The 21,285-nt window shown below is 53.0% G+C and overlaps 1 protein-coding gene across 2 annotated transcripts, besides 2 other annotated features; it reads left to right on the top strand.

Moving 5' to 3' along the window:
• Positions 235 to 769: an enhancer, noted in NCBI's record as "H3K27ac-H3K4me1 hESC enhancer chr20:31640995-31641529 (GRCh37/hg19 assembly coordinates)". NCBI's record gives its function as "activates a minimal SCP1, AML or CMV promoter by ChIP-STARR-seq in primed H9 embryonic stem cells {active_cell/tissue: H9 hESC(primed)}" and the evidence as "EXISTENCE:reporter gene assay evidence [ECO:0000049][PMID:30033119]".
• Positions 770 to 1,303: an enhancer, noted in NCBI's record as "H3K27ac-H3K4me1 hESC enhancer chr20:31641530-31642063 (GRCh37/hg19 assembly coordinates)". NCBI's record gives its function as "activates a minimal SCP1, AML or CMV promoter by ChIP-STARR-seq in primed H9 embryonic stem cells {active_cell/tissue: H9 hESC(primed)}" and the evidence as "EXISTENCE:reporter gene assay evidence [ECO:0000049][PMID:30033119]".
• On the top strand, positions 949 to 20,893 carry BPIFB3 (BPI fold containing family B member 3). 2 transcript variants are annotated; one of them, NM_001376932.3, is made up of 16 exons: positions 949 to 1,011; positions 2,468 to 2,593; positions 3,588 to 3,744; positions 6,424 to 6,528; positions 6,937 to 7,077; positions 8,814 to 8,877; positions 10,661 to 10,721; positions 11,503 to 11,594; positions 11,712 to 11,891; positions 13,870 to 13,923; positions 15,849 to 16,019; positions 16,934 to 17,001; positions 18,299 to 18,341; positions 19,150 to 19,213; positions 19,763 to 19,839; positions 20,622 to 20,893. In NM_001376932.3, exons 2-16 carry the CDS (start codon positions 2,482 to 2,484, stop codon positions 20,649 to 20,651), a joined length of 1,419 nt encoding a protein of 472 aa, NP_001363861.2. In that variant the 5' UTR covers positions 949 to 1,011; positions 2,468 to 2,481; the 3' UTR covers positions 20,652 to 20,893. The 2 variants fall into 2 exon arrangements, with proteins under 2 accessions (NP_001363861.2, NP_872599.2); NM_182658.5 differs by lacking the exon at positions 949 to 1,011 and having other exon boundaries at positions 2,377 to 2,593.
• Positions 20,894 to 21,285: the final 392 nt, after the last annotated feature.

Raw genomic sequence — 21,285 nt, forward strand, 5'->3', positions numbered from 1 at the left:
GGCGATTGCCTGAAGTGCGACAAGTCCAAATCTTGGTGTGCTGTAAGCAGATTTTGAAAACTTAGTATGAGAAAAAGAAAGTAAAGTACCCCATTCATAATTTTCTGTTGGTTATATGTTAAATGAGAATATTTTGGATTTGGTGGGGGTAAATAAACTAGACTATTATAATTAATTTCACCTGTTTCTTTTTGCCTTTCAAAAAATGTGGCTACTAGAAAGTTTTAAATTGCATTGCATTTCCACTAGTCGGCTCCTTCAGGGCAGGGGAGATTGTCTCTTTTATTTACAGCGATTTCCCCAGCATCTAGCAGACAGTGGGTGCCTCACAAATGCCTGCAGTGGAGTGAATGAATGGACGCATTTCTCGTCGCTGTCATCTGCACCAGCCTCGGAAAGGGGACAAAGCTCTGGAACTCTGGGGATACTGAGCCTTGGGAGGTGGGGGTGGAGTTGATGCCCCTCCCCCAAGTGTGCCCAGAGTCCCTGTCTCCAGGCCCATAGCCCTCTCCATGTGAGGCCTGGTGCGGGGGGAGGGTGGCGGAAGGTAGAAGACCCAGCAGCTTTAAGTCCCTTCTTTCCCTCCGTAGGCCTTCGCTGGGGAAGGGGTGGGGTAGGCAGGGTAGATTCTGTGCCATTGGAATGGCTCTTGGGGAGCCTTGGAGGGAGCCCAATAGGTGGCTGAATGGGTAGGTGGCAGGGCCCCACACCTCACCCCTGGCTCTGAGGGAGGTGGCTGCCTGTGCAGCCCCCACGCCTTCACTCCCACTCCTGGGCACCGACCCCAGTCCCCTTACTCGCCTCCAAGGAGGAAGGCTTAGCCCAGGCCCTCGGGGAAAACCGCAATTTGCTTCTGACATGACATATTGACGGGATTCTGGCGGCCGTGGCCCCTTTGTGTCCTCAGAGCCGCGTGGGCATATAAGGGCCACCCCTCAGCTCGCGTGGGTGGAGGAACCGACAGGAGGCCGGGAGCCCCCACCTACCCCTTGTGGAGCTGCAGGAGCAAGGGTAAGACAGCCTGAGGCAGCCCTGCTCTTGTCCTGACGCCCAGCCGTTGACCCCACTGCCTTCTGCCCTCCCATATGAATGATGGGCACGGAAAGAACTCACCCTAGGAGGAGACTGGGGGTACCAAGAGGGTGGATGAAGAGAAAAACCATGTTACAGATCTGGGGCCCAGAGAGAGGCAAAGACTTGTATATATTCACAGCCGGAGGGGTGGGCAGGGGATCCCTGTCCATAGGATGATCCTATGGAGAGAGTTCCAGGAGTGCCCATTTTTCTCCTGGCCAGTGACATGCTGCTGAATTTCTATCCCCTGCCCCCTCAGCAGGGACCCCTTCTGACACACAACCACGCACAGAGGCCTTAGACATGGTCCCTGCCTTCATGGAGTTTACAGGGAAGAGAAATAAGGACACAAACAGATGCATAATTGCAAATGGAGATCAGCACCTTAAAGTAAATATTCTGCGTGATGTTTAGTGACAGACGGATTTCTTTAGACAAAGTGAAGGACGGAGGCCTCTCCAGGGAGGCAATGTTTATCCGGAATCTCAATGATAAGGAGTCAGCCATGCAAAGAAGCAGGGAGGAGCCTTCCTAACAAGGAACCGCATGTGCAAAGGCCCTGGGGTGGGAAGGGGCCTGGCATGTTTAAGCTCAAGGAGGTCAAAAAGGCAGGCAGGGATTTTGTGGGTAATGGCAAGAAGCCTGGGTTTCAACCCAGGGCAGCGGGGAGCCACTGAAGGGTTTAAGCAGGAGTGATGGGTGGGCATAGATGGATATGTGATTGGGTGGGCAAATACGGAACTGCTTAAAGAAAAATCCCACTCTGTGAACTTAGCAGATTAGCCATGCCCCCACCTGCCACCCCATTCCCTTTTTCAACAAGATTTGGGGTGGAGGTGGGGGAAGGAGAAAGATAAGACATGTTAAGTCTAAGTGTTGGGTGTCCCCAGTCAGCTAGACCTTCTGAAACAGCCTCATGAGCCAGTGGGAAGCAGCTGCTGGAAACAAAGCTCTCATCCTGCTGTCCTGGAGGGGGAAGCCCCTCTGTCTGCAGCTGTCACTCCAGACACCCGGCCAGGCTCACTGGGCCTCTGAGGATGAAGATTTTTATGTCAGATGGACTCAGGCTTGAATTCTGACTGTCTCTGATTAGTTCTGTGGCCTTGGTCTAGTCCCCTACCCCTTTCGGTCTCAGTTTTCCCAGCTGAGAAATGGAACCCAATGAGGGAGAGGCTTGGAAAGTGCCTTGGAGACTTGAGTGCATTGGCAGCTGCACCGTGCCACCTGCGTGTTAGCTCTGCTTACATTTGGGAGGAGAAGGCTTTCCTGGGAGTGAAGCTCAATTTGGGCTGTGCCAGGTGGGCAGGAAGGGGGAAGGCTGATAATGGGAACAGAGAGGGGAAAGGCTTGAGCAGGAGAAGGGTCTCAGAGTTCCTCCTTCTGCTCCTTATAGGCATGCAGCCAGTCATGCTGGCCCTGTGGTCCCTGCTTCTGCTCTGGGGCCTGGCGACTCCATGCCAGGAGCTGCTAGAGACGGTGGGCACGCTCGCTCGGATTGACAAGGATGAACTCGGCAAAGGTGAGCCCCAGGTGGGCAGTCTGTGAGGGGGCTGCTGCAATGTCAACGACTCAATCTATATGCTTAGAGCATCTGCTTTAAGAGCAGATAAGAGCAGGTTGTGATTCTCAGCTGCTTAGAGAGCACATTCTCCTGGGAGTAGCTGTGCAGGAGTGAAAGTTTCCCTTGCAGGCTTGAATGGGCGATGAATTCCCTCTTACGGGAGGTGGACTGGGTGATATGGGCTGAGGCTGTTTGGGGACTGTGTGTGGCTCAGGGACAGGGACAGAGTGAGGTTGAAGAGGTCGAGGGGAGGGTGCTAGCTGGGCCAGTGTCTCTGCCTCACATCACTAGGGTAAGGGAACTGTACTTGGCATTTGGTACTACAGAGCCCGGTGGCCTGTGGTGACAGTCTCAGGGATAGAGTAGATTGGTCATGAGCAGGAAATGCTTCAGAGAGGCCCCCTGGCCTGCCTCTACTCTACAGGGCCATTCCTCCATCCTGCCCTTCCCACAGTCTGCACAGAGTCAGGCCTGGAGTGCCCAGGAGAGAAGCAGAGACCATCTCCTCCAACTTGATTGAGCCCTGGTGGCTACAAGCTCCCCCTTCTTTGCCCTCCCTTTCAGTGCTGTAGGGCAGTCCAGGATCAGGAGCCAAGTTACACTACTGACCCCAACCCAATTTGCTGTGTGACTTTGGACACGTCTCTGCCCCTCTCTGAGCCTCAGTTTTCCCACTGGTAAAATGAAGGGATTGTTATGAGATTTGCTCATTCATTCTCCAAACACTTACTGGGTACCTCCCACATGCCAGGCAGGGAGGGTGGCCACAGGCCCTGCGGTGGGAGTAAGAGGCTGTTATGGCTTAGTGGGTTCCACCATTTGAGTGTAACCTCTGGGTTAATTCCATTTTTAAAAAGAAGCCTACTCAATCTCAGAGGAAGGAGGCAGCTGCCATGGTCCTGGGGGTGAGGTTGGAGTTTCTAGTACCTTCCTACTTCCACTCTCTCTGCAGCCATCCAGAACTCACTGGTTGGGGAGCCCATTCTGCAGAATGTGCTGGGATCGGTCACAGCTGTGAACCGGGGCCTCTTGGGCTCAGGAGGGCTGCTTGGAGGAGGCGGCTTGCTGGGCCACGGAGGGGTTTTTGGCGTTGTCGAGGAGCTCTCTGGGTGAGTCCCACCTGCTGCATGCCCTACAGGAAGACTTGGCTTTGCTTCCAGGAATTGAGGAGAGATTGTCTCTTTGTAATTTGTCCAATAGGCAGTGAAGGTTGTGTGGGAGGGTTGTGATCCGGGTCTAAAAATGATGACTCTACTGCATGCCTGGCAGGACAAGAACAGCAGAATGCCACTGTGGTTGAGGGTTCCAGCTCTGGGGTCAACACTAGTTACTCACTGTTTGACCTTGGGGAAGTTGCTTAGTCTCTCTGGGCTAATCTAGCTATCAGCATGGTTCCCTTTTTCACCTCCTCCAGGTGTCCGCTCAAAAGAGGTGTGGGCTGATTAGCCCTTTCTTATCCCCACCATACATTTTACAGGTTTATTTTATGTCTCCTTTGCTAGATTATAAACCCCAGGAGGGGTAGGATTTTTGTCTGGCTTATTCACTGTTGTGTCCCCGGGATCATAAATAGGGACACAGTGTATGCTCAAAAAGCTTTTTTTTCCCTTTTTTTTTGAGACACAGTCTTGCTTTGTTGCCCAGGCTGGAGTGCAGTGGCATGATCTCGGCTCACTGCAACCTCCGCTTCCCGGGTTCAAGCGATTCTCCTGCCTCAGCCTCCCGAGTAGCTGGGATTACAGGCGCCCACCACCACGACGGGCTAATTTTTGTAGTTTTAGTAGAGAAGAAGTTACATCATGTTGGTCAGGGTGGTCTTGAACTCCTGATCTCAGGAGATCTGCCTGCCTCGGCCTCCCGAAGTGCTGGGATTACAGGCGTGAGCTGGGGTCTGAATGTTTGTCCCTCACATAGGATTCCAGAAGACTGCTACGATTGTCTGAATGTTGGCCCCTCACACAGGATTCCAGAACACTGTTACCAGGTTCTGAATGTTTGTCCCTCAAATAGGATTCCAGAACACTCCTGCTGTGGTCTGAATGTTTGTCCCTCACATAGGATTCCAGAACACCGCTACTAGGGTATGAGTGTTTGTCCCTCACACAGGACCAAAGAACACTGCAGTTAGGGTCTGAAAGTTTGTTGCTCATATAGGATTCCAGAACACTCCTGCTGTGGTCTCAATGTTTTCCTAAACATAGGATTGCAGAACACAGCTTTTTTTTTTTCATTCAAAAAAAAAAAGTATTTTTGAATGAATGAATGAAGAGCATCACATTATAGCTAATATGCACTAACTCAATGAGCACCTATTCAGGGTTTTCTGTGTGTCTAGCACTGTGCATTGTAAATGAATTATCTCACTGAGCCCAGAGGTAGGACTATTATGAACTGCATTTAACAGGTGAGGAGATAGAGGCTCCTGGCAGTGAAGTGACCTGCCCAAGCTCACCCAGCTAGGGGAGGAGATGGGAATGTGTCTGTGTGTTTCATCACAGCCCATACTGCCTGGTCAAGTCCAGTGGAAACCAGTCTATGGCTGGTGGGTGAATTAGGGGAAGGTCAAACAACAGGGCCCAGGCAAGGCTGAAGCCCAGTGTATGGAGAAGAGTCACTGGACAGGAGGCAATGGGGTACTGGGAGCGGAAAGAAGGGCTGATGGGTGTTCACTTCCCTAAACGGAACATAATGTCCGGAAAGCAGGCTGGTAAATGCTGATGTTGCTCGAGGTTCGCTGTGTGTCATTCTGTGGTAGGTGTGGTCAATGTCCCTATTTTACAGATGGGGAAACCGAGGCACAGCAGCACTGTGACTAGCCCAAGCCCATCCAGTCAGTTAGTGGCAGAGCTGGAGTTTGAACCATCTGCCTTTTACTGGCTGCAGTATTAGCAGCTACTCATGGGGTTGTTGCCAGGACAGTGAGTTAATCTGTGCCAAGCAGCTGAAATAGAGCCGGGCAGAGAGTAAGTGTTGGATAGATATTATTATTATTATTAATGCAATATTTACTCTCCCTCCCCTGTGAAATCCGCTTTCTTGGTGAGGCTGGAGTCTCAGACATGAGCTTGGCATTGTTCGTGCCTTGAAGAGCTCCTCATAGGTGGTGGAGTCTGACAGCGAAGATCCCATGGGCTCAGGGCAGTGATGGAGGCAGCCCAGGCAGGGTGGGATAGGCGCTCAGAGGGCATCTGCCCGAGGCAGAAAACCAGGATGGAAGGCTTCCTGGAGGAGTGCACGTGAACTGGGAGGAGTCAGCAAGCTGAAGAGGGATGCAGAATGGAAGAAGGGTCAAGGGAAGTGTGTTCCAGACAGAGGAAATGGCCTGGGCAAAGACCCAGAGGACAGAGAGTAATGACTTGTGAGGAGTCGTGTTTGAGAACCCACTCGGGTTGCATTTGTGTGAGTGTGCAGGGGTATAGCAGGGCGCAATGTCAAGGCCAGAAACCAAACCAGGGCTGAGACTGTGGGGATGGAGTGAGGAAAAACTTTAATTCCTTGAGCCTCTAGCGGTGATGATGATAGGACATTTGTTGAGCACACACCGTACCAGGTTCTGCACTCGAATTATCTCACTTGTCTTTGCAACACTCCTGTGAGGTAGGAACTAGTATCGCCCCACTTTACAGATAAGGAAACTAGGCCCAGAGAGATGAAGTGATGGGCCAAGGGCTCGCAGCTGGCTCTGTGGGTTTGAGGTGAGATAGGGGACACCACCAAGAGCCACTCTGGGCGCCGCCTGGGCTGGGATGTCTGGGAGTGAGCAACCCTCTCCCTGACTCCCATCCTAGTCTGAAGATTGAGGAGCTCACGCTGCCAAAGGTGTTGCTGAAGCTGCTGCCGGGATTTGGGGTGCAGCTGAGCCTGCACACCAAAGTGGGCATGCATTGCTCTGGGTGAGTGTGTCCTGGGGACCTCTACCCTCCTGCTTCCTATCCCACCCCCTGACCTGTTGGAGACTCCTACTCTGCTGTCCCCCCACTCCCACCCCTCTGTATCCCCCATTTCCTTTCACCCTATTTCCTCCCCAAGGGACTCCCAATCCTACTGTTTCCCCCCTGGATCCTATGCCATTGCCCTTCCCCAGGGACTTCCATTTCGCTCTTCCTCCAGACCCGGACCCCACCGCTCAGGCTCACCTGAGAGGGTCAGGGAAGAGGGTGCAGGGAAGTGCAAAATGGGGCAGGGAGGCAGAGGCTGAGAAGGGGGCACAGAGCCTAGGCCACTGGCAGGGCCACCCTGGTGGGCGGGGCCAAGGGTGGGAGCTGGCTGCCTGGCCACACCCCCAGTGTCCTTTCTTGCAGCCCCCTTGGTGGCCTTCTGCAGCTGGCTGCGGAGGTGAACGTGACATCGCGGGTGGCGCTGGCCGTGAGCTCAAGGGGCACACCCATCCTTATCCTCAAGCGCTGCAGCACGCTCCTGGGCCACATCAGCCTGTTCTCAGGGTGAGTCTGCAGGTTCCAGCCTGCAACCCTGACCCGCTCAGGATCATCTCGCACCCATCTGGGCATCTCCCAGGTCTCCCTGGAGCTGCCAGCTGCGGGGGCCTGAACTCGTCCTACCCCTGCTTGTCCCGCCGGTTTCAACCCACTTCACAGACCGACAGATTGAGTCCCACCACTGACAGGGACTCCGGCTTAATCCATAGCTTGTGCCACCCACTCCTGGGCAATTCCTCTAGTCTGGTTCACGGGATCCTGCCGTCCCCTCTCCGCCAGAGCGGGCCCAGGGTCAGCTGGGATCCCTCCATTTGCGGGATTTCAGCCCCTGCTCTCAGCACATGAGACCCAACTCTGCCTCTGACTTGCTGTGTAACCTCAGGGAGACCCACTCCCTATCTCCCCATTCTGGGCCCCCATGTCCCCATCTGTATATGTGGAGCTGGATTTGATGATTCGGAAGGGGCTGTGACTTCAGTCTCTTCCCAGGATCTGTCCAGGTGGCCCTCCCTACACCTTGTTGAATCATCACTTTTTTCTTTTTCTTTTTCTTTTTTTTCCTGAGGCAGAGTCTCACTCTTTCACCCGGGCTGGAGTGCAGTGGTGCCATCTCGGCTCACTGCAACCTCTGCCTCCCGGCTTCATGCAATTCTTCTGCCTCAGCCTCCCAAGTAGCTGGGATTACGGGCGCCCACCACCATGCTAATTTTTGTATTTTTAATAGAGACGGGGTTTCACCATGTTGGCCAGGCTGGTCTCGAACTCCTGACCTCAAGTGATCTGCCCTCCTTGGCCTCACAAAGTGCTGGGATTACAGGTGTGAGCCACCGTGCCTGACCTCTCAATCATCACTTTCATGGGACCATGGAGGCCCAGAGGTCTCCTTGCCTAGGATCACACGCACAGATCCGGCAGGGATGGAGAGGGGCTGCGCTCTGGCTGGGTCCAAGGCCTCTGCCAGCACTCTGAGCCAGCCCACAGCTGCCTCCCACTTGTGTCTCCCCGTTCTGTGTCCACCTTCCAGGCCCAATCCCAATCCCGGCCCCTGCTCCATCTTTGTTGGGTAACTCTGAGCAGTGGGGGATCATCAGGCAGTTCTGTGTTAGCTCCCAGGAACAGGGTAACTGGGTTGCTCCTGTCTCCACGAGGGCCCTAAGAAAGGGATTCCAGGCAAGGGCTTTGGGCTCCTTAAATTCCAGTGGTTCCCAGGATGGTGTTGGTGTCCTGTGTTTGGGGCTCTGTGGTTGCCATCCTGCACCCCATGGTCTCCAAACAGACCTGAGCCTGTCTACATGCACTTATCCTCAGGCCATCATTCATTCATTCATTCATTCATTCATTCATTCATCTAACAAATACTTGTTGAACCCCCACTCTGGGGGCTCAATAACAACCATTGTCCTAGGCCTAAATGTCTCTTGTCTACAACTGTTAGAGGGACAAAGGAGACAGACATTTGTCAAGCACAGATTTTACACCAGCCACATACACACTCCCATGTAACCCGGGCAGCAGCAGCTCTCTAAGGTGGGCATTGTACAGTTGGGGAAAATGAAGCCATCCCCTGGGTCCCCTCGGGAGGAGGAGCCAGGATTTAACTCAGGTCTCCAAAGCCGCAGTCAACACCACCCCCAAGAGAAGGGAGAGGAGAAATCCAGAGCCCCTAGTGTCCGCCCGACCCTGTCATCTGGGTTGAACCGTCCACCTGGCAGCCGCACCCACATGTGTCTCCCTCTGCTCAGGCTGCTGCCCACACCACTCTTTGGGGTCGTGGAACAGATGCTCTTCAAGGTGCTTCCGGGACTGGTGAGTGTGCGGGCCGTGTGCCAGCATGCCCTCTCCCAGGACTGGGCCTCTTTCCCCCTCTGGTTTTGGGTGAAGTTTGGCGCCAGGCAGGATTAGGCTGTACTTCCCTTCCACACCCACCTGGTAATCCCATCCGGGCCTGCTGACCGGCCTTCCTGGCGCGCCTGCTAGTCTGGGGGTGGATGACACGATCCTTTCGGCCTGGGTCCCCTGCTCCCAAATCGTAGGCTCCTAAGAAGGGTAAGAACCCCTGCTCTGTTTCTGCCATTTGTATTAGTACCAACTTTATGTTTTTCTTTAAATTAGCGTGAAATGAAAATTGGATCACTTGGTGATTTTAAACTGAGCCCTGTGCTTGGCAATCATGTCTAGAAAAACACATGTACCTTTATTCATACATCACAATTAAACATATTAAGATTAAAGGATGCCTGTCCATGGCCTGCCCCAGAACATCCTGGCTTCTGCACTCGAGAGAGCTGGTCTGGCCCAAACCCCATATCACCGAGGAAGAGGGGAGGGCCACATAGACAGCAAAGGGCAGTCAGGCCTCCTGACCCCACGGCCTAGCTGGCTCTCCCTGTGCATTCTTGCGAACGCTGCTGGGGGCAGCAGAAGAATGGGAGCCTAGGGTTGGCAAAACTGCCCTGGGCTTGAGGAAGCCAGTTTGGAAAAGAAGCTTAGCAGGAGGAGGGGCCCCTAAGCAAGACCATGTCAGGCAGGTTTCCACCAGGGCATGAAGGTGCATTTCAACGGCAGCCCCTAACTTAGTCTCTGGGGCAATTGGCCAGCAGCTAGGTTTTGTGTGATACAAAGAGGTTTTGAAAACGAGCATTCATTGCCAACATTCAGCATTGAAGATTTCTCGTAACAGTCCAGATTTCTGGCTTCTGTTTTGCAATCAGCCATCCTGGCTGCCTGATACCTCCCTCCTGTAAGTGGGAAGTACCTCTGGTACCTCCCATCTGGTGCTCAGAGGGTTTGCTTTCTCCATCCCCAGCAGAGCCCCTCTGGTCTCCTCTCATTTCTGTGACTTGCCTGACCCCAGAAATCCTGGAGTTTGGGGCCCCCACTTGACATGTGACAGCCCTCTTTTGTCTCTCTGAATACAGCTGTGACCTTGGACAGGCCACCTTCTTCTCTGGCCTCAGCTGGAGGATGAAGGGGCTGGACTGCATCCTCTCTGAGGCTCCCACTCCAGTGGGCTATGGGACTCAGGTTCTGTGATTCCCAGACTTGGATTCTGAAAGTTGAACCACTTGCTCCCTATTCTCCTAGCACAGGGGTTAGGAATGAACACGTGGTGATATGCAGAATGGACACTCCAGATCCAGGCCTGACTCTCTGGGTGGAGGAGAGGAGGTGCCCCTCTGTGGGGTCTTGATCCTAGGCTTCCCAGTGCCCACGTAGAATGGCAGGGGATGGCCTGTGACTTTATGGGGAACCAAAGCCGCTTTTGCCTCCTCAGGTGAAGGCCTTGTCCGCATGCCCAAACCAGCCCCTGAAATGTGTCTCCCGTGGTCCCCCAGCCACCTTTAGGGGTTTTCTAATGGGGCTCTTGTAACCAAGGGAAGACAGCTTGGGGGCCACCCAACCCTCTGACACCTCAAGCCCCCAGCCCCTTCCCTGCCTCCCACCTGTGTGTCTTCTGTCTGTCTCTGCCTTCCGCCTTGCCTTGGTCCCCAGCACCACATAGCAGCAGATAGCAAAGCATTTAAAGAACATGCAGCTGTCCTCGCAGTGAGCTCTTCTTTGCCCTGTAACATGTGTCTCCCTGACACAGCTGTGCCCCGTGGTGGACAGTGTGCTGGGTGTGGTGAATGAGCTCCTGGGGGCTGTGCTGGGTAAGTCAGGGCTCAATGCCCTCCTCTTTGCCCCTTCTACCCGTCTCTGTATGACCCCAATGGGGTAGGGTACGAAGGGGAGCCAGAAGCGGCAGGATCTCAGGGTCCTTTAGTTCCTCCTCACACTGACAGGCTGCCCCTTTGAGGAGCCTCATGGAGGAGGCCTGGGCTGAGGCCGCCTAGCAGGGCATGCAGACCCAGAACCATCAGTTCTCTCTATGTTGGGTGCTGCAGACCAACACTTACTGAGCACCTAGTGTGCGCTTGGCACTGTCAGAAACAGGGGGAAGATATAATGATTACCTGGTCAGACTAGATGACCGAGGCCCAGAGAGCTCAAGTAAGGAACCCAAGGCCCCGCAGCCACAGCAGACCCCAGTCTCTCTGTGCCTTATGGAGACACAAGTGCCTTCTGTGTTCACAAAATGGGTTTGGGAAAATATAAAAAGGCACAACCAGGAAAAGAATAGAAAACTTGGGGCCGGTATGTCTCTATGGGTGGTGTTATGTAAGAGAGGCAGGGTAGCAGTGTGTTAGTGGCATCAACTCTGGAAAACAGGAATCCTGGTTTTGAACACCGTGACTGTGTGGCCTTGGCCTGGTGACTTCCCCTGTCTAAGCCTCAATTTCCACATCTGTAAAATGGGGATGACAGTAGCAGCCAAGTGAATGCTTAGTAGAGTGCTAGGCATTCAGCAGACACTCAATAAATGGAAATAGGGGCTATTATGATTGGGAACTGGGCTTATAGGGTCGTTCTCGCCCCCACTTTCCCACGCAGGCCTGGTGTCCCTTGGGGCTCTTGGGTCCGTGGAATTCTCTCTGGCCACATTGCCTCTCATCTCCAACCAGTACATAGAACTGGACATCAACGTGAGTAACCAGAGGGGCCTCTCCTCCTGCTGGGGGTGGCTAGATAGGGGATGCCGGATCAAGGCAGGTGGGTGAGCACCTTAAGACCCTCCTCGGCCCTGTTTCCTGCCCCTGCAGCCTATCGTGAAGAGTGTAGCTGGTGATATCATTGACTTCCCCAAGTCCCGTGCCCCAGCCAAGGTGCCCCCCAAGAAGGACCACACATCCCAGGTGATGGTGCCACTGTACCTCTTCAACACCACGTTTGGACTCCTGCAGACCAACGGCGCCCTCGACATGGACATCACCCCTGAGCTGGTGAGTGTGGTGCCCGGGGGATGGGGATGGGGGCTCCTTGCCCTGCTGTGCCTTGGCATTACTAGTGTTGACCTAGGCCCTGATCAGCCTTGCTGAGCCCTCCTCTCTATAATAAAAGGGAGTTGAACAAGTTTAGAGTGTGTACACTGCTGTTCTCCACTCCTATACTTAGGGGAGACATTGCTAATCGATCGTGGTCCTCTACCTGGTTAAACCTGACTGGGACTTCTGAATCCTTCTCAACTTGGCACTCCAGGAGGTCACTTTCAATTGGTCAGGACTGGCATGTGGAATGAAGCCCACTTTCCATACCTGTATCAGATGAGCCTTTCTAGAGTCTAAGCACTAAAGTGTGAACCACTAAAATTTCCACTGCTTTCTCAAGAGCAGATTTGAGTGGGAGAAAAGAAAACTAGGCAGGGTGGCTCATGCCTGTAATCCCAGCACTTTGGGAGGCTGATGTGGGAGGATCTCTTGAGCCCAGGAGACACCCCATCTCTACAAAAAATACAAATATTAGCCAGGCATGGTGGTGCATGCCTGTGGTCCCAGTTACTTGGGAGGCTGAGGTGGAAGGATCATGTGAGCCTGGGAGGTCAAGGCTGAAGTGAGCTGTGATTACGCCACTGCACTCCAGTGTGGGCCACAGAATGAGACCTTGTCTCAGAAAAAGAGAAAGAAGGAAGGAAGGAAGGAAGGAGAGAAAGAAAAGAAAAAGAAAGAAAGAGAGAGAAAAGAAGGAAGGAAGGAAGGAAAGAAGGAAGGAAGGAAGGAAGGAAGAAAACTAGGGTTGGATTGTACCAAGAGTTACCCAAACATTTGTTCTGCAGCTTCTAGTACCTCCCAACTTCCATTCTGTCCATTCTGGCCCCTCTGACATCCTGGAAAGCCCAGACCCCAGAAGCCCCACCCAGAGACATTTATTTTGGTCTCAGCCTGGGCTCCCCACCTGTAGCTCAGGCCCAAGGAAACAGGGGTTGGTCACTCACTTCTTGCAAGTGGGGTCCAGACAGCACTCTGAAGGCCTCTGGGAGGCTGGAACAGGACCCTGAGCTGGGGAGAGGGTGTCTTCCAGCTGGGGGATGGGGGTAGTCATAGCCAGGCAGAGACTCTGCGTGTAAGAACGTGCATGTCTGAGCGGCCTGCGGATGTGGGTGTGTGTATAGGAGCATTGGGTGTTTGCATATGAGCATCGTGGCAAGAGAGAGGAATGTCAGAGGCCTCGTCCTGGTGCTGCATGTATGCTTATCCTGTGTGAACAGGGCTGTTCTGAGAAGTGGGCATATGTAGTTCGGTGGGCGGGGGGTGTCTCAAACATCAGGGCCCCCGGAGGCTGGGCCATCAGTTAGCAGCCTGATGGGACTATAGTGAACTGGAGACCCTGTGCCCCATTTCTCAGGCAGTTGCCACTCAGCTGCCACAAGGGGAGGGGGTGCAGGCTCAGTGTGACCAGATTTTCCAACTCTTTAGCCAGAAACTGAAAAATTTACATGTGACTTCCTGATTTATAAATACTAGAAATAAATTCATAGTTTTTGAAAATACTATTTGGGTAAAAGGCAAAAAGATCTGGGGTCAGATCCCTGGGCCTTTAGATCGTGAGCCTTGGCAGAGTAAAAGGTTTTGAAGTTAGCCTGCCCAGGTTCAAATCCTGGTGTCACCACTTACCAATTGTGTGACCCTTGGCAACAGCCTCAGTGTCTCCATCTGTTAAATGAGGGCAATGGTAGCACCCACCTCTTTGAGCTGTTGTAAAGGTGAAATGAGCAAAGGCGTGCAGAGCCCCTAGCATCTGTCTGGCATGCAGTAAGTGCTCAGTAATTGCTAGCTGATAGAACAAACTTGAGTGTTTGTAGTGATATATGTATGAAATTGGCAGGGTAGGGGGAAGAGTGGTGAACGAAACTGCTCTGAGTGTGCTGAGGGATTCCTGTTCTGTCTCTGTGCTCACCAACCCTCTCTCCCATTGGGGGTCCAGGTTCCCAGCGATGTCCCACTGACAACTACAGACCTGGCAGCTTTGCTCCCTGAGGTGAGTGACGCTCTCATGGGTTTTGATCATTGTAGCTCTTTCCTGATGACCATGAATGGAGTCCAGAATCTTTCTCAATACAGCTCTCCAGGCAACTGCAATTGAACAGTTGAGTCCAAATTCACACTAAAGTGTGAATGACTAACACGACATCCTTTCCTGATAGCAGATTTTGCTTAGAGAGTAAAGGATTAGGGCTTGACTGCCCCAGAAATCAACTGGGCATTTATCCTATGGAAATTGTTTCTGTAGCACACAAGGACAAAAGTCTTTTCAGGTTACTGAGCTCCCTTCTACCAACTGGCTTACTTCATCCTGACCTTAGTCTTCAATGTCCCCAGAGAAAAGACTAGGGCACTTGTCTTGGAGAGGAAAGAAAAGGGAGAGTGTCAGGTAGGTCTCACTAGTGGACATAAGTACATGACTTCCAGGCCAGGCCTCAGCTTTCCCATCCTTCAACTGGGGCTGGACCAGCTGCTTTCCAGCTGTGAGAACTGGAATTCGTACTGAAGTTAAAATGTCTACTACAAGGTCCTTATGTAACAGCAGGTTCTGAAAGAGGTTGGAAAGAGGCCTAGGGGCCTGGGCTCTCACCAGAGAGGATGGAAATGAAAGCTGGGTTTGGGGGCACAGAGGACAAACTCTGTGAGTTCTTGAAGTTGGTGATTCAAAGCAGTCTGGATGAATGAGGTCGGGGCCTCAGCTTTCCAGAGTCCCTTGGCTAAAGGGCATAGGAGCCTCATGGAAGGGATGCGATTGGAGTCAGACATTCAGAAGAACCTCCAGAGAGTAGGAGTGGAGAGGGACATGGGGCAAGTGGAGTTGGCTGGGGCAGGGGTATCCAGAAGCAGCAAGCTGGGCCTGCCCCTCCAGCATGGGGAAGCTGGGCTTGTCTCTGGAGGCTGAATCCTTTGGTCTCCATTTGCTGGCCTCGCAGCTTTAGAGCCCCATGTGGCTTCAGATTCTGTGGCATGTGAGGGTGGAATCAGGTGATTCCTGGTCCTGATGATCCTGCCCCTTAGGGATTCTGGGCTTGAGGAAACCTAGACTCAAATTCCAGCAGGCAAGGGACATACTTATGTGTTCCAAGCTTCTGTGGTTCTGTAATTTCCTTAGTCTCATGACGTTGCAATTATGAGACTCAGAATTTCCTGATTGTGTGCCTCATTTAGGCAGTCAGCGTATATCCACTGAGCACCTACTGTGTAACAGGCCCTGCAATGGAACAAGGGCATACCTGCAGCTGGGGCTGCACAAAGGGCAAAAGGTGAAAGGAGAGAAAAGCTTCTGCACTCAAGGGGTTGCCATTCTGCTGGAGGTGACAGACATTGCACAAATAAACAGAAACAGAGACAGTGTCAGAAGGTGGAAGAGCATGGAGTGGCGAAGCTGGCTTAGGAGTGCTGGCTGGTGCTTTTAGACATGGTGCTTTGCAAGGCCTCAGTGAGGAGGTAACATTTGAGTGAAGGAGGTGAGTGAGGGAACTTTGCAGTTCTCTGGGAAGATATTTCCAGGCAGAGGGAGCAGCAAGTGCAAAGGCCCTGGCGCCTGCTGGGAGCATCCCTGGCAGCTGGAGGAGCAGCCACGTGGCCAGTGAGTCTGGAGGGAGAACGCAGGGCAGCAGCGGGAGGAGAGCAGGTGAAGTGGAGAGGCGGGCAGGGGATGGAGGACACAGAGCCTATGGCCTCGGGGAGGATTCTGACTCTGCTTGAGACAGGAAGTCTGATTTGGCAGTCCTGCAGGTCGGTGTCTCCACACCTGAGTGTCAGCCTCATGGGGGCTGAGCCCAGGCCTGTGTCTTTCAGGCTGTAACCTCGTTGCCCAGCACGTTGCCCAGTGCCTGGTAGGTGCTTAGTGAGTGTTTGCTGACTGACTGACTGATTGTAGTCCTGGGGCATCTAAGTTATGCCCCTGCATTTCTCCAGGCCCTGGGGAAGCTGCCCCTGCACCAGCAACTCCTACTGTTCCTGCGGGTGAGGGAAGCTCCCACGGTCACACTCCACAACAAGAAGGCCTTGGTCTCCCTCCCAGCCAACATCCATGTGCTGTTCTATGTCCCTAAGGGGACCCCTGAATCCCTCTTTGAGCTGAACTCCGTGAGTGGTCAAGGGGTGGCTGGGGGCCCGGCATTGGGGTTCCAAATGGGGGTGACTGTCTCCAGGACTGTGGAGGTACCGTCCCCCTGATTTCAGGGTGGGAGCCCCACATAGTCCAGCACAGGAAGCCCCCCGCCCCACAACCACTGTCATCATCTGGGCTGAGACCCAAGCCCCTGCTTCAGTTCCTGCCTGCTCCCTCCTGTCATGTCTGCCTGGGCCTGTTTGGGCTGCCCACACTGCTTCTTGGGGATCTCAGACGTTGCTCCCCATCTCCCCAGCCTCTCTGCCCAGCTATCTCCCTGACGACCCTCCAGCTTCCTCTGACCCTCCCGCTCCAGTCAGCTTCCTCCATCGCACCTCTGCACACATCTGGACCGAGGCAGGCCCCTCCCCCTATCCTCCACCTTGGCTCCCCATGGCCAAACACCTGAGCCTGACATTCATTGTCCTTCTGCCCCATCCTTGCCTTGCCCGTCCTTGTCCCCTAAGCCTCAGCTACTCAGGTCTACCAGGTCCTCCCTCCCTGGCTTGTCTGTGCTAGGTCCACCACCTGGAGTACCATTTTCCCCTTCCTTCCACTAACTCCTCATCTTTCAAGATTCAACTGTTACCTCACTGGAAAGGCCTTCCCTCACCGTACAGCAGGCATGCTTGAGGGGCTCTCCAAGCTCCTGCAGCCCCAGAGCTTCCTCTCCTACATTACCAATTGCCCTCAATTTTAATACTGTGGTTCTCTGCTGTTCAAGAAAACAGCAAAACCTTCAAATTACCTTCTCAGGGCTCAGCACAGACCCTGACACACAGTAGGGCCTCAGTAAGGGTTAGTGGACGGAACAGATGGATGGAGGCAGACCCGTCCTCAAGCTCCTTCTGCCGATTGGGGGTGACTTCTGCCTGCTTTGCCCATGCAGGTCATGACTGTGCGTGCCCAGCTGGCTCCCTCGGCTACCAAGCTGCACATCTCCCTGTCCCTGGAACGGTAACTTGGGATCCTGGGGACAGGATCTTGTTCTTGTCTTTAGGAACAAGAATTAGGGGCTGACAGGATCCGCCTCCCGTTTCTTGAGCATCAGCGCAATTCCAGGTGTTTTTCCAGCATCCTCCTTGCCTTCAGGACCCGCCAGGGAGGAGACAGTGTTAGTCCATGTTATAGACAAGGAATCGGGGGCTCAGAGCAGCAGGCTCAAGAGTGGGCTTCTTCCACGGCACCCTTTTGCTGCTGAAAACCTGCCTCTGAAAGATAAACCTGCCGCCAGGATGTGGAGTCCAAACTCCTGAGTTATCAGCCCCAGAGGCTAACCAAGAGACAACCGGCCTTGAGTGTCAGGAAATGTGTTGTTATTTATGTGGACTTGTTACTTGTTACTTCTCTATTCTCCTCACCCCTGTGGTAACTAGGCGTCCATCAAGATAATCATAATGACCAGAATGATGGTGTTGGTGACAGTCCTTCATCTACACGCACAGTACTTTACAGTTTGCAAAGCACCATCTACATGCACAGTACTTTACAGTTTGCAAAACGCCGTGCTGGCCCAGGCTCACACGGCAGGCCGTCCCTAGAGCAGGTCTGCAGTCTGGGCCTCAGTGCTGTCACCATGGCAGGGCCCCGGCCTGTCTGTCCCTCCCCTGGCAGTAGGGACTTTCCTGGAGATTGCTGAGACCTGACGTCCTACGCCACAGGCACCCAGTGCTCCTCTGACTCCGTCTTAGCACCCCCACAGGCTCCTCAGGCCACTGCTGGCCTCTGCCTTCCATTGTTGCCCCATTGCCGACTTTGATGGAGGGCCTCGCCTGCTGCCTGGGTGCACCTCCACTTCCTGATGGCAGTTCACGCCTCAGTCTTTTAGGAGGTAGAGATGCGTGCCCAGGCTCTGGCCCTGAATCTGCACTTGGGCCAGATATGATCCATCAGTGAGTTGCTGCCTTGAGTGAGCACCTGCTGTATGCAAGGCACTCTGTGTCCAGTGCTCAGTCTGGGGGAGGTCACTCCTCTGAATGGTTCAGCCACCTGCCCAGGGTCAAATAGCTGGGAGTCAGACAAAGGCGCCAAGGCCAGAGGTGGTGGTCATGATGCCTCAGAAGGGAGGTTAGGTCCCTTTGGGTCCATTTTACAGGTAGGAAAACTGAGTCTCTGAGTCAAGGCTGGATAGAGGCAGAGTGTTGGGCTGGTAATCCTGTTTCCTGATGATGAGAGCTATGGTGGGGCAGGCTGGGGGTGGGACAGGGGTGGTTGGGGGTAGCGGGGGCCCCAGCATCTCTCTTCTCTCCACCAGGCTCAGTGTCAAGGTGGCCTCCTCCTTTACCCATGCCTTTGACGTAAGTTCCTGGGAGGGTGAGGGGCTTGGCAGTGATGAGAGTCTTCAGGTGTGGCATGGAAAGGGGGTGGCCATGAGTCATGGGCCATATGACTGAGCTGACCTCAGGACTGGGATCCTCCCCAATTAAGCCAGAGTGGGCAAATATCAGGGCGGGTGTGCGTGAGAGAGAGCAGGGGGTGTGGGCAGTGGGGAGAGAGAGAGAGAAACAGTGATCATCTTAGGAAAGTGAATCTCATGATCTTCCACGGTCTTGGAACCTCACAAAGTTGTGGACATCTAGAACCTCACAAGGGTCCATCATTCTGGAACTTCTCCCAAGTAATAAATTTCCCGAACTCAGCAAGTTCCATTTCAGAGCTCACAGAGCCCCGAGGTTCCTGCTTCTTACAGAGTTCTGAGGTTCTGGAATCTCACCATGGGCTCAGGTTCTAGAACATTCTCAGAGTCCCTAAACTGACAGGAATCTAAGGTCAGACCCCATAGACTGGAGCTGGGCACATTTCCTTCCCTCTTTCTTAGGCACTGCCCACCTCCAGCCCCAACAGAGTCTTATAGGAAGGCACTTCTTCCAAGCTCATGGGGCCTGGGGTAAAGCCAGCCTAAATCACAGAATCTCTTTCGAGGTCACTGGTGGACAGCCCAGGCCACCCCCAAGTGCCCAGTGCCTGCCAGGAGCTGTGTCCTCAGGCTTGGGGGAGGCTGAGGCAGCTGGGCCCCTGGGTTTCTCTCCCTGGGAACGGGATGCTGCTGCCTGTAAAGCCACACCCCAGAGCACCACCCCCACCACCCTGTGTGTTCTGTTGCAGGGATCGCGTTTAGAAGAATGGCTCAGCCATGTGGTCGGGGCAGTGTATGCACCAAAGCTTAACGGTATGGCAGGTTTTGCTCTCTTGGACACATGGAGTGTCTGAATTTGGTATTGTCTAGTCTGTTGCCTCTCTTTATGGTTCTGATGGGGACACTGAGGCCAGAGAGAGAGGTCGATCCTCATTTGCAAGATGCAGAAACTGAGGCACCAATTTTTCCATTTAAATGACATTGATTAGCACCTACATCTTGCCAGCCTATGGACTTCAAGCGCTGATCTGACCTCAGTCCTGCCTTAAGCTCCCACAGTCTAGTAGGAAATAATCATATAAACAAATGATTAGAATATAGATGACCCAGAGTGTGTAAGGGATTGATGAAGCCTTTAGGAGGCTTGACACGGGGGCACCACTGACACAATACAGAATAGGGACATTTTTGTTTGGGTGTAGGAGGATGAGTAGGAGTTTGCCAATAAGAAGCTGATTCTGTGAGAAGAGAACTGGCTGGCTAGTGAAAGTGATGGAATAGGGTCAGCAGGGTCCGAGGGTTCCTAGGGTCCAAGAGCTCCCCACCAATGTACCTTTGTTTTCAACGATTCTCTTTTCACAGTGGCCCTGGATGTTGGAATTCCCCTGCCTAAGGTTCTTAATATCAATTTTTCCAATTCAGTTCTGGAGATCGTAGAGGTGAGCCTTCTCTGCAGATACGGCCCAGGTGGGCCTTAAGCTTGTCTCTGGAAAGCTCTGCTTGAAACTAATGAGGGGAATGCTTTGCTTCATCCTCTTGTCTGTCCCTGATCCATTTTCTAAATTTCTCAGTGAGTTACAAATTGCCTAACTTAGGAATGGCAAATATATGACATGTGTGCTACTACTCCTCCATTTCTTGCCCATGGCAGACATCATCAATCAATCACGGAGTTCTTTCCCATTGGATTCAGAGACATGTCTGGCCTCTAGAATGGAACCTAAGATTCACTCACAGAATCACAGTTCCCCTGGTCCAACAGCAACAAATACATATGCCATCTCTCCCTTATCTTGTGTCTGCAGCAGATATGACCAATGGATCATGACCCTTTTTCTTGTGGAATATTGATATGGCCTCACAATCCTTTTCAAACCAGCCCAACTTTGGGTGGTGGAATAGCTCTAGGAGGTGGGCAGAGCAGAGAGTTCTGTACCCATTTCTCAGATGAGGACCAAGGCTGAAGTAGGTCAGATTTCTGGCCCAAGTTCACCAGTAAATTAATAGCAGAAATGGCAGTTGAACTTGAGTCTATTAAGTCCTCAAGTCAGAGCCTGTCCCACACTGGATGTCATTTTTTCATCATTCATTTATTCATTTAATGAGTGCCTGCTGTGTTCCAGGTACAGGGCCAATCCCAGGGCAGGGGAGTAAAGATGGCTGCAGGGATGGGGCATTGCAGAGACTCAGGGGTGTAACCAAGAGCGGTTGTTCCTTACAGAATGCTGTTGTGCTGACCGTGGCATCCTGAGGCTGAGACATGGCCACCAGCCTTCCCTGTTGACTACTAGAGACCACCTGTCTACTCTGCCTCAATTTCCCTCCCAGTCTCTAGCTGATGTTGGTGACAGTAAAAATGCCCTCTGGCCCTGAAGCACTACTCCAAGTTTGGGGTGGGAACTGCCTGGCTAATCATAGAACTGCCTCAGAGAGAGCTCTGGGGCCTCAGTAGCAAACCCTGAGCTTTCAATAAATGACTCCTGTATCTCGGTATCTCCTGGCTGGTTTATTCCCCAGTCACGTAGGACTTGACTTGGCCTTTGCCTCCAGTGCCCTCCTTAGCTCCAGGTAGGAGCTTCTGGGAGGTGAGGGGACTCAGGGCCTTGTCATTGTAGCTTTGAGTCCCAAACTGACCTTGTTGGCCTGGGCAGCCTCTGTGTCCTGTTCTGCCTTCCTCTCTGTCCCTGCCCCCCTTGCCTCCAGCTCTCTCTCTCTCTCTTTCTCTAAATACTTCTACTTTTCACTCTCTCTCTCTCTGAGTCTGCATTTTTCTCTGTTTCTGACTTTGGGATGCTTATCAGAAGTGACATCTGAGCTGAATTTTGAAGGGAGAATAGGAGCTTTCCAGGAAACAAAGGCACTAGCACCCCAGGAAGCAAGGATGA

The sequence above is a fragment of the Homo sapiens genome, chromosome 20 (assembly GCF_000001405.40).
Source record: "Homo sapiens chromosome 20, GRCh38.p14 Primary Assembly".
In the NCBI taxonomy this organism is placed as follows: domain Eukaryota; kingdom Metazoa; phylum Chordata; class Mammalia; order Primates; family Hominidae; genus Homo; species Homo sapiens.